Here is a 12842-nt window from a genome sequence, read left to right as displayed (position 1 = left end):
CAGGGCTCAGGCAGCTACAGCTATCTCTGCTGGGAGGGTTTCCAGATTCTTCAGTTCTGCTCCTCTTCTAGGCCCTATCACCCTAATATCTTTGGGCAAGTGACTCCAGGAATCACATTCTTAAACTGACTTATAGACTGTTTGAAGAGGAAAACATTTTTAAAAAATAATAATAAAAGTTAAAGAATAACAAAGGTATTTAGAACTTTTCATGTGCAAAATAAAGATAAATGTAGATTTAAACAGTCTACAATTATACAGAAGGGATGTTTCTGTGCCAATGAGTTGTTTGTAAGTGTATCTACTTGTGCAGCAGTATAAAAACCTAGGAAGTCAGTTAAAATGCAGATGTGAAGGCAGAGGGATTTTGTTCTCAGAGACTTTAAAGTAGATTTTGGGCAGAATTCCAAGGAGTCTGTATTTTTAACAAGCAGCCTTCCTTCTATTTTGCCTTCTATTAAAAGTAATGGCAAAAACCGCAATTATAGTTTGCACCAACCTAACACATGCTGCCTGAGGAGTTAGTGAAGGCAGCCCCTCGACAGCACTTTGGGTGACGTTGTGTGAATCTGCCTCAGATGCAGGCACAGAAGTCCAAATGGACTGGTTTGATTAAGAGCAGGGAAAAAAAGAGGGTTCTTATTGGTTTTTCACATGCCAGTAACTCACTAATACATCTAGAGAGTATTAATTGTATTATATTAATATCATATTAATTAATTAATATAATAATTAATAGATAATTTATTGTATTAAAATCAGAGACAGAAGAGATTCAGTCAAATTTACTCATCTTTTCATCAAGTATTAGAAGATCAGTCATCCTTCCTATCAGCCTGCAGACAGACTGAGAAGCTAGGATTGGCTGGTGTCTCTAAATCTGCAAACCTAAATACCTGCATTGGAGAGAGGAAAACTGGAGACATTTTTCAGTGTGTTTGAGGAAGATAATCATATCTATTCATTTTCACCCACAATCTGGGAAACAGTCATAAATTATAGTCAACAGAATTTAAATATTAACTGCCAGGGGGTAATGTTAAATACCAGAATGGATAGCCAGAGGTTTTAGAAATCTCATTCTTTCAGTGTTTTTTCTGAGCAATTTATGTAAATCTCTATTCAAATATGTAAGCTTTATGGAAAACTTGAAAACATGGAGGAAGAAGGTTTTATTTTTATTTTCTTATATAAAAAAGAGAAAAAAGCAAAAATGAAAAGAGGGAAAGGAAACATGTATGATATTTTTGAAGCCCAATGATGTCATTCGAGGTCACTTTGATAATTAGGACTGTGAAGCTGTATTGTATGTGAGTTAATTTGTAACATTATATTTAGATAAGTGAAAGTTTCTTCTAGTGAGGTGTGGTGGTGATTTAAAATTTTTTTTAGTTATCTCTGTGTATGTGTTGTTATTGTTTTGTTTTTATCTGTTATACTTTCAGTCCTACCTAAAGAAAAATGGTTAAATTCTATTTGAAAGCCTCTTGTGAAGCAGGAATTTTAGGATTCTTAGAGAACTATCAACCACAATATTTACTTGTTAATTTTTGCAAATGTAATGTTGTTCTTTTTATTTTAGGTTCATTTAAAACTCTTGAAATGAAGGCATCAAAACCTGGCTGGTGGCTCCTAAACACAGAGGTTGGAGAAAACCAGAGAGCAGGGATGCAAACGCCATTTCTTATCATGGACAGAGGTATCACAAGAGCCATGTGATATTTGGTTTGGCAGGAGAGTGCCTATTACTAGAATATTACCAACTTTTAGATTGGAAATATTCAACTCTAAGAACTCTGATGTGACAAAGGCATAATTTGTAGCCATAATTGCTTTTATTCCGGCCCATGGTCTGATTGCATTGAAAACACATCAGTCAGATCAAAAGCATTCCTGTCAATTGGGAAACCTGTGTAAAGCATCCTTCTTCATGACTTGTGATCCATGGACAAGTGCATATAAGAAATTTTCCAGCTTCCAAGAGTTGAGGAGGGAAAAGGTCACAGGAATTTAACAATGACTGAGTCACTAAACTTGACATTTCAGCATTTAGGAAACACAGTTTTCATCTGTCCATCTGTTCATCCATTCTTTAAGCCATTACTAAGCACTGTTGAGTATGAAGCACTGTGCCAACATCCAGGTAGCACAGTGGCTGGTATCCCTTCCTTGATCAAGATATAAATAACCTTGTAACTTTGAGGTCAACTTTTGAGAACATAGTCTCATCAGGACTAGAACTTTTTTTCATATTTTTATATTTTGTATTTTTATTTTTTTTGTAGAGAAGAGGTTGCCCAAGATCAAACTCCTGGCCTCAAGTAATCCTCCCCCCTCGGCCTCCCAGAGTGCTAGGATTACAGGCATGAGCCACTGCACCTGGCCATGGATGGTACCTAATGTTGTAAAATAGCATAATTTAAGATAAAAGCAGAAGAAAATCAGTTTAAAAAATGATTACATTTCAGGATTTCAGTTGCTTTCTTCTAGGATGCCACTATATCTATTAAAGCACCAGTCTTGTTAGTGCATTTACCATTTTATAATCAGATATATTTAAGTCAGGGCCACACAAGGTAGGTAAAAATATCTAATTATTGAGTCAGAAACATAATCCCTAACCATGGAGTTTTACTTTATTGTATATATTTTCTAAGCAAAAATTATTCATTTTTTTTCTGTTTTTCATAGACTGTAGGATGCCAATGGGACTAAGCACTGGTATCATATCTGATTCACAGATCAAGGCTTCAGAGTTTCTGGGTAAGTTGTAGCACCATGGTCTGTGAATGGTACCCCCTACAGTTGTGCAGCATGCAGCCTATGAAACCATACATGACAATCCTATCTATGAATCAGTTTTTCTCTTTATGCTTTTCTCTACTACAATGTAGTGAAGCAGCTCCATTTGGGGTACATATATGGTAAAGGAAGGAACACTATGGTAGGAGCTAAAGGCCTGTTAGTGTGCTCTTAACACTGCCACCTCTTCTGGTGTATAATGATCCCAAAGAGTCTTTTCCAGGAAAAACCGATAGCTGGGGGTCATTGATTTCTCTACATAAAAAGCCCAGCCTCTCTGCAGGGATTTGGCAAGGATCAGATACCTTACTCTTATGACCACGCGCCCATTTCCAAAACTCTCCTCAGTCATCTTTTCTGGGTTTGACCACACATGTAGTATTTCAGCCAGATTCACAGGGTCTTATCAGCCAGGCATTATAGTCCCCATTAATATGGCCCTTTGCCTGTGGCAACCATTCATCTATTCAGAAAACTTTGTTGAACCTCCACTATATGTGAGGAACTCCTCCAAAGTTTTCCCACACTGCCTCAAAGCCCTTCCCAAGATCAAGAGGTCATGATCAAGAGGATGATGAGGCTCCCATATACCCTTCCATGTCTTCCTGTTAGGCAGGCACATTCAGCATTAGGAATATAAACACAACAGAAAAAATCAAACATGACCTGTGTGCAAGAAAGGGGATAGGAGGTGGTTGGCAGTTGACCAAACACAGACCTGAAGCCCAGATTTCATCATCAAGGACTGGCCTAGTAGCTGAGGCCCATGCCTAGACTCCTGACTACAACACAGGTCCTCCAAGGATCTGGTTTTCCACTGGATTAAACTCACTTGAGAAATTGCTGGGTTTTTAAAAAATTCAGAATAAATCTTTTTCTTCCCTTGAGTTTAGGTTACTGGGAGCCCAGATTAGCAAGATTAAACAATGGTGGATCTTATAATGCTTGGAGTGTAGAAAAACTTGCAGCAGAATTTGCCTCTAAACCTTGGATCCAGGTTTGTCTTAATAGACTGATAATATTTACTGCTATCGTAATAATAAAAATGAAAGTGATTTAGTAATTCCTTGTTATTGTTCTTGCAATGTTGTTAGGGGAAATAGCAAGTACTAAGTGTGAGGCACTGTTCTAAGTACTTTATATCCTTAAAATCAACCCTCTGAGGTTGGTTCTAATAATATCTTGTTTTATAGATTAAAAAACAAAAGGCACAGAGATACTACCTACCTTCCCAAAGTAACACACAGCTAATTAGTCATTGAGTTGGGATTCAAATTTAGGTACTCTGTGCCCAAATATGAATTGCATGTAGTCATTGTATCAGTTTGCTAAGATCTTATGTGCTAGCTCTTTAGTTCTGAAGAAAGCTGATTGTATAATGAATTTAGGCAGTGTGTGACTTGTTGACAAGGACAGTTCTGTTTACTGGCTTTCCTATATTGCAGGTGGACATGCAAAAGGAAGTCATAATCACAGGGATCCAGACCCAAGGTGCCAAACACTACCTGAAGTCCTGCTATACCACAGAGTTCTATGTAGCTTACAGTTCCAACCAGATCAACTGGCAGATCTTCAAAGGGAACAGCACAAGGAATGTGATGGTTTGTGTGCATATTTCTATCTGAATCTCTAGACTCTAGACTTGGCCTAGAATTATTATGACTATACCTAATGATTATGTATTTTAAAAAATACCTTTCTGGGTATTAGAAATGTGAATGGCTTTCTAAGGGTCATATGGAGAAAAGCAGTAATATGATAGGTCTGTGTCTTACAAATTAAAGAGAGAAGCAGGGTTACTGAAACTTCAAAACCCCACAAAACTTTAAAAAATCATTTTATCATCAAACAAAATACCCAGATTTCTCAGACTGGCCAATGGTATACGGCAGAGTAGAACATCTGGTCTTGCGCCTCAAGGAGCTCATGCTAAAAATTGGCTACCAAGACTTTTGATTTTACTATTGTAGTTTGTTTTGTTCTTTATTTCAGTGTACCTGAAGTAAATAGTAGTGTTAATGCTAGTAAGCCTCTGAGGCAGTGTGATTCTCAGACTTTTTGGGGGGCCATGCCTGAGGAATGACATTCTCCTTCTGGTTCTTCCAGGGGCTCAGCCATAAGCCCTAACTCTTCTCCTCCTCTCTATTCCCTTCCCCAAAGAAGTCTGAATGCAAGGAGTCTGCCTGCCATTATTATACCAATAACCTTGAGTCTGTTTCTGCTTATATTTTATATAAAATTATTTACTGTTTATTAGTTACCTATTTTTAATAATTATTTATACTATGTCTCAGAACCATTGAAATCCTAAATTATGGTTCTTACTAATCAGTATTATGAGAGAAAACACAGATTGCAGTTGAGTCCATAGCATAAAGATTTTGTCGTCTATGTTCATGAGAGGATATTGGTATATAGTTTTATTTTTTTAATTGTCTTTTTCTGTTTTTGATACCACAGTTATACTAGCTTTCATAAAACTGGTAAGCATGCTCTTTTCTACATTCTAGGAGAAAATGTCTGCAATTGGTAATAATTCTTTAAATATTTGGTAGGAATCACTAGTGAAACCATCTGGGCCTGCAGATTTCTTTTTGGGCAGTTTTTAAATTACAGATCCTATGTTCTAAATAGTTACAGGGCTATTAAAATTATCTATGTCATATTGGGTGAATTGAAATACTTTGTATATTTCAATTAACTGGTCAATTCCCTCTACGTTGTTAAGTTTATATGTGTAGAGTTGTTTGTATATTCCCTTATCCTTTTTCATGTTTGTAGTGATTTTGCCTGTTTCATCTCTGATATTGTCATCTGCCCCTCCTTTCTTTTTTGTGTGAATCTTGCTAGAGATTTGTCGATTTTAAAAAAATCTTCTTGGCCGGGCGCAGTGGCTCACGTCTGTAATCCCAGCACTTTGGGAGGCCGAGGTGGGCAGATCACGAGGTCAAGAGATCAAGACCATCCTGACCAACATGGTGAAACCCCCTCTCTACTAAAAATATTAAAAAAAATTAGGCAGGGTGGCGTGCACTTGTAATCCCAGCTACTTGGGAGGCTGAGGCAGGAGTATCGCTTGAATCCGGAAGGCAGAGGTTGCAGTGAGCCGAGATCACGCCACTGCACTCCAGCCTGGTGACGGAGTGAGACTCCGTCTCAAAAAAAAAAAAAAAAAAAAAAAATCTTTTCACAGAACCAGCCTTGTTTTATTGATTTTTCTCTATTGTTTTTCTGTTTTCAGTATTACCGATACCTGCTCCAATCTTCTGTTTTAAAAAGTTGGCTTTTTCTGACATTGCTCTGTCAGGAAAAGGGGTAGGGCACAGCCTGTTTACTGCCAAGTGGGGGTCAAAGTCCAGGTTCCCCACTCCATTGCCACCTAAGAAGGGATTGTTCCTTGGTGGCTGGGTGGGAAGGGAAGTTCCCCATTTGGCCTCCACTGATACTGCAGGGGCAGGAGCTTCATTAGGGGCTGGAGATGAAAGCCCTAAATCCCTACATGGCCTTTTCTGACACAACCCCAGTGAGGGTGTAGGGTGCCTCTTTAGCCTCAGGAGCATAGAAGTCTAGGCTCCCCATTCAGCCTTTGCTGTTGTGGGTTGGGGAGGGGCCTCAGGTTTTTCTGTGGTGTTTGACTAAAGGACAGAAGTCAGTGTCCACCAGTTTTCTATCATATCTCGCTATGCTGCCCTTTACTGGTACTTTGGTTAGAGAAAGCAGATTTTATTTGGGCTTTTTCAGTCTGTACTCATTGGTGTTTCCAGGTTGCCGGCTTCTTCATCTCTAAGTCTGGGATTTATGAGGCAAAAAGAAAATTCAAGACACTGATCACCATTTTGTTCCTTCCGAGAACCCTAGCCAGTCTGTCTTCTGAGCTCTTTTCAGGGTCTTATGTTTCTCTGAGCTATAATGTCCAAAGTTTTTAGTTGTACTTAGCAGGAGGAATAGGGCAAAGTACATATATACAATCTTCCTGGAACTGGAATTATCCCCAAGTATATTTTATAACCAAATTGATTTAGTTTGGACCCCATGAAAATGTAGTATTACAATATTAAATTAGATCAAAATTTTAATATAAAGTCACTTTATAGATCATTGTTACATAACTAAACTTTCCTCTTTTCTTCTAGTATTTTAATGGCAATTCAGATGCCTCTACAATAAAAGAGAATCAGTTTGACCCACCTATTGTGGCTAGATATATTAGGATCTCTCCAACTCGAGCCTATAACAGACCTACCCTTCGATTGGAACTGCAAGGTTGTGAGGTAAATGGTAAGGTACAAAGATGCATTATTTTCTCACTGCCACTCAAAGAATCAAGATTTGGGAGGTATAGGAGAATGAGTAGAATTTTTAGTTCTTTTCAGTGACTTAGGCTCCTAGGAAAACCTTTGTGAAACAGAGGTTCTACTCAGGTAAACTCTCAGTGTGATCTAGACCAAGAATGGTTCTGCCAATCAGAGTGCCGACAGCATCTCTGTGAAGAAAGTGCCTGGATTATATAGACACATCACAACTCTCCAAGGAAGGGCTCTAATTTGGAATTACCTCCATCAGCCCATTTTCAATAAGACCTACCTGAGATTCAAACTAGGCCTGACTCTTCCAAAGTCCTCAGGTCACTCAAACTTCAATGTCATGACAGTATCTGGCAACATCACTGCCATATATATGGTGTTCAATGAGTGTTTTTGAAATCTGAATTGGCTTCCCAACTTCCTGAAACCACAATTCTTCTTTATATTTTCTTTCATACCCTGTGTAGGTACTCAAGTCTTTTCTATGTTAGCTGCTATTTCTCAGGGGCTGTAATGTGACCTGTGGTATAAATAAATCCAGGTAATCATAAATGGTCATAATAAAATTCTACTATATATAGCAAGGATGTTTAAGAGTCTTAACTGTTCTTCTTGGACTCTTAAAGCAGTGCTTTCCAATATTTTTTACTTCAAAGCACACAAAGAAAATAATATCTGCCTGGCATTCTGAGGTAAAAGAATGAAGCAATAAATCTAAGGCTTGGCTGATCCAGGCCCCACTTGGCTGCTGAAGGGCTGGAGGTGGGAAGAGGGATCAATAAATAGGTGCACTAGAAACCTGCCGTGGCACACCTGTCAGGAGTTGCAGTACTTCCCTTTGGGTGGAGAGAAGCCACCATGATTCACAATGGAGAAAGTAGCTGAAACCTGGAATCAGTTTCCTGTTGAAGCAGATAATGGCACAGTATACCCTTGGATGGATATGGGTATTTTGCCAATGTCCAGATAGCAGTAGTCTAAAACATCTCCCAAATAAAACACAGATCTTGTATCGGCAGGACCACTCCTTGAAACAGTTCCATAAGTCATTGCGTTTTTTTCTTTCCATATGGTATAAATAGATTTGTTCAGATCCTAATAAACTACCCTAAAATGTGACATTCAATTCTGCTAACTTATTTAAAACATCTATTTTTTATACAAGAAGCATTATTTTCTTCTTATTCATTTTCTTGATACTTAGGTAATTATTAGCAGTGGGTATTATTTTTAGGACCCTTTGTTTTTTTCATGGAGAAAGTAAGGCATCACTTCAAGAAAATTTCTGCATGATTTACCAACAAGAACAAAGTGTCACAGAGATGATGGGTGGTCAGCCAGGTTCACTCACTAGCTGTGTTTCTTACAGTCACAGGTCTGCCTTGCTGCCTATGATATTCAAATTACACCTTGGAAAAATTCCAAAGGGTACATAACTCGAATTACCCTCTAAGGGTTGAAACAGAAAATATTAAATAGTGACTGAGGGTCCATTGTATCTTCTTGGTAGCTTTTGTTAGAAGAAACAGAGTATTTTTATATATAGATAATTTAGGATTATTGTCACCTGAAAGCAAAGACCAAAGTTTCCAAGACTCTCAGAAGGAGGAAGTGAGTTTAAATGTTTAGAACATGGTATTTGGTATCAGATTGTCTGAACTCAATTCAGTTTCTGATTCTTGTGGCTGTGTTACCTTAGACAAGTTACTGTGTTTTGGCTGTACTAAAATGGAGATATTTATGAGCATTATATAATACATGTAAAGCCTGAGAACAGTATTTGGCACTTGGATTCAATAAATCTTCATTGTTGTGGTTATTGTTTTTGTCATTTGTTGGTAGTAATATTATTTCTTATCTCCTCTGCAGTGCATGAAGCCATGCAGGGAATATTGGTGTGTAATTAATCACGTTACTTTTCTTTTGATAGGATGTTCCACACCCCTGGGTATGGAAAATGGAAAGATAGAAAACAAGCAAATCACAGCTTCTTCGTTTAAGAAATCTTGGTGGGGAGATTACTGGGAACCCTTCCGTGCCCGTCTGAATGCCCAGGGACGTGTGAATGCCTGGCAAGCCAAGGTCAAGTATACTCTATGCATGGTGTTCTCTTAGGGCTCCAGAAGAAAGCAAAGGCCCTCACTACCACAAACATGGAGGATCTGGGAAGCAGGAGTATTTTAATCTGTTTCTGCAGATTAAAATCCTAGGTCCAAGAGTCCAGGATGTCTGTGGACTTGATAGCTTTGACTATAACTTTGTCTCAGAGAGAAGTCATTTATCATCTCTGTGGTTTTTGGTCTAGTCTTGATTTAAACCAATAATAAGCAAATTAATTTTTCTGCAAAGGGATAGATGGTAAATATTTTAGTCTTTGTGGGCCATACATTCTCTGCCATAACTACTCAACTCTGCCATTGTAGCAGTAAAGTAGCCATAAACAATATGTAAATGAATGAGCTGGCTGTGTTCTAATAAAACTTTGTTTACAAAAAACAGGCAGCGGGCCAAATTTGGCCCATGGATCATAGTTTGCCAACTCCTCATTTAGACAGCTTACATTAGTGATAAAAAAATGATTTAGATTTGCAACATCATCTCTTATTTTTTCTTTACAATTTAGCAATATTTTTTCATTTTCCTAAATGAAATGTCATCTAAACTTTTTTGTTCTCTTCCCCGCCCTCCTTATTTTAAGAGCTTTGTGATATTCCTTGAGGCAACTAGAAGCATAGTAAAATGTTGCAAAACCAGAGTTATAAAATCAGTGATCTAAGTTAAACAAACACCTTCCAGAGAGTTATACTGTCCCTGATATTAGCCCACTGAGTAATTCAGGTGATTTAATTTGGGGGTAACTCTTAATATTTGACTCATTTTTATTAATTCTTTAAATGACCTGAGATATCAGAATGGCATGAATAACTTGATGATCCCTTCAGCCAACTAAATCCAAATTCCCTAATTTCTATCCTCATATCTCCCTCCCTTAAGATACCTACACTCCAATTTCCTGGCTTTCTATAGAATTCCAGGGCCTATCCTTAAATTAGGCCACTAGAAAGGAAAAAAGAATTGTGGTGCTGGTGGCGTAAATAGAAAAGATTGGATTCCACACAGTCTTGGGAACTGATATCTGTGTCTTGAAACTCATTCTGGCCCAATATGGAATCACAGAATGTTACAGTAGCAAGGAGCAAAGCATCTGGTCTAGATTTTTCCTTTTAATTCTAAATACACAGGAGATTAAATAATTTTAGCTTAGTTTGGTAGCAGAATCAGGACTAGAATCCCATTCTCCCAGTAAACAGGCCATGCTCCTTCCACCATTTGAAGCAGCCCAAATACCTCATTTTGCAATTTTGCAGAGGGCAAAGCTGACACCCAGAGAAGTTAAAATAATAAAAATAGTGTTATATTACATTTATATAATTTACATAGCAATATAAATAATAATTAAAGAGATGTTATCCAATTCTTTTTCAGATGACTCTTTAGACTTGTTCATGGTATAACCTTGTCACTCCATACTTCATTTTACAATCTTTTAAAAAAATTTGCACTCTCTATAATTTGCTCTTAGTCTTTGTGATATAACAAGGGCCTCAAAGATAAAATGCTAATTTTTAATGGTGTCATTTCAAAGTTAGAATTCGGGATCAGAAATATGTGTTTTACTTAACCCCCTTCCATTCACATGAAATGTCTTTATATGGTCTCTTTAGAGAGGTTGAAAATCAAAGCTGGACATATGCAGTGATGCACATAGATGCTGTTCTCTCCATAACTAAAATGTCTCTACCTCTTTTATGCCTGTGAAAACCTCTAGCTGGTTATACTCTGCATCACTGGTACAACCTTGATATGAAGACACACTAAGATACCACCCAGATGTCACTAGAGGATGTTATAGACTTAAAAGTTTTCTCATATAATCATTCTAATTCAGTTAATTTGCTTTTAAAATACATATAGCATGTGAATTTTTGTGTATACACATATATACACATACACCTATATATACACATACACTTATGTATGTGTGGGTGATGTTGAAGAAACATATCAATATTATTTCCTTTAGAATTGAATGAGGTTATGGTAGACGATAAATCTCCCAAAGGTAAAAATTTATCTTAGATGACTCTAAAACTCAGTTTAGACCTTCTGATCTTTCTCCAAACACATATCACCAACCATGTGATTAGGCATTTTGTTAGGCCAGAGACAGGACAATAACTGTACTGTGTATCAAGCTCTACTTATGGTTTTATCAGGTCTCTCAAATGTTACATTTATTTGAAATATTAGAAGAAATTGAACTATTTCTGCTCTTTGACATTAACAGGGGGAAAGAGAAGTTGTGTTTTGTAAAACAGGTGAAATAGAGAGAGAATGCTATCCAATTATTTCCCAGATAACCCTGCAGCAATATTACCAGAGTATTTAAAGAAATTTGCTTAAGAAAATAATATTCACAGATAATTTAGCAGTTTAATTATTTTTCCAAATAAAGCTCATTTATTCATTCATTTATTCAACAACTATTTATTGAACACCAACTGAGTGTCTTAACATTGTGGTGAGTACCAGGAAACAAAATGAAATAAGCCTCTACCCTTAAGCAGTAAGGAATGCTAAGAAGGAAACAATTATAGTACAATGTGTGAAATACTTCAATAAAAATTTACACACATATTGTGGCAATGAAGAAGAAAGAGGGAAAGCTTCTAGGAGACTGTGAATCCTAAGGGATAAGATAGAACAAAATCCTTTTGAGCTCTGTGCTTTTTTGCATAACTTGGTCTAAAAAAAAAGCAAAGGTTTTAACATCTTCCTTATCTATGTGTTTTTGTCATTTTCATAGGCAAACAACAATAAGCAGTGGCTAGAAATTGATCTACTCAAGATCAAGAAGATAACGGCAATTATAACACAGGGCTGCAAGTCTCTGTCCTCTGAAATGTATGTAAAGAGCTATACCATCCACTACAGTGAGCAGGGAGTGGAATGGAAACCATACAGGCTGAAATCCTCCATGGTGGACAAGGTAGAGTGGCATCTGGGCAAAGAGAAAGCAATCTGAAGACTGTGCTATAATGAGAATAACAGTATTTTGCATTTGACAAATATGCAGTGACATGTACCACCTCTTTAAGTCTTCTAAATCTTAGTTCTTAAGGTGCCTGGTCTCAGACAAACTCCTGGTTGTCTGTTTTGGTTTGTTTTATTTCTCACTACACCAGGTTGCCCTCATAGGAGGATAAATATCATTGTCATAAAAAAAAAGAGTGATTTTATTTCTGGTGTGTGTAAACCTTGGGGAACTTGCTGATGATGGAAGGGGGAAAGTTATACACTTTAGTTGAGGATATAAGGTACATGCCAACAAGAATAAATAAATTAAAATGCATGGTCACATTTTAAATGTTAGCAATAGTCAAACATTTATTGGTGGCCACTTCCTGGCACTTACTATGCACTTACGTTGACATACATTTTTAAATATTTACAATGACTTCTGTGAGGTAAAATGTTATTATCCTTATTTTGCCAATGAGGAAATGAAGAATCAGAGAATAAGTAACTTGTTCAGTCATACAGCTAATACAGACGGGCTGAAGGCAGAAATGGTTTTGCAGCTGCTCCACAGCACCATGTGAGACTTGTTTATTTTTCACTAATTTAAGTCAGATCACTGGTGAGATGAAATCTATCTGGCATGTGATTTCATAA

The 12842-nt window shown here is 37.2% G+C and overlaps 1 protein-coding gene across 1 annotated transcript in view, besides 1 other annotated feature; it reads left to right on the top strand.

Annotated features, from left to right (window-relative positions):
- F5 (coagulation factor V) overlaps positions 1–12842 on the top strand; it is a 74531-nt gene that overhangs the window by 58882 nt on the left and 2807 nt on the right. The window contains exons 18-24 of the mRNA NM_000130.5: positions 1583–1699; positions 2692–2763; positions 3696–3799; positions 4248–4403; positions 6936–7080; positions 9037–9188; positions 11974–12156. Coding sequence (NP_000121.2) covers positions 1583–1699; positions 2692–2763; positions 3696–3799; positions 4248–4403; positions 6936–7080; positions 9037–9188; positions 11974–12156 — 929 coding nt within the window. The remainder of the gene's footprint in view (positions 1–1582; positions 1700–2691; positions 2764–3695; positions 3800–4247; positions 4404–6935; positions 7081–9036; positions 9189–11973; positions 12157–12842) is intronic.
- Positions 793–993: a silencer, noted in NCBI's record as "peak448 fragment used in MPRA reporter construct". NCBI's record gives its function as "represses an SCP1 promoter by STARR-seq MPRAs in K562 erythroleukemia cells {active_cell/tissue: K562}" and the evidence as "EXISTENCE:reporter gene assay evidence [ECO:0000049][PMID:32103011]".

The sequence above is a fragment of the Homo sapiens genome, chromosome 1 (genome assembly GCF_000001405.40).
Source record: "Homo sapiens chromosome 1, GRCh38.p14 Primary Assembly".
NCBI lineage: Eukaryota > Metazoa > Chordata > Mammalia > Primates > Hominidae > Homo > Homo sapiens.
This window is presented reverse-complemented; position numbering and strand designations above follow the sequence as displayed.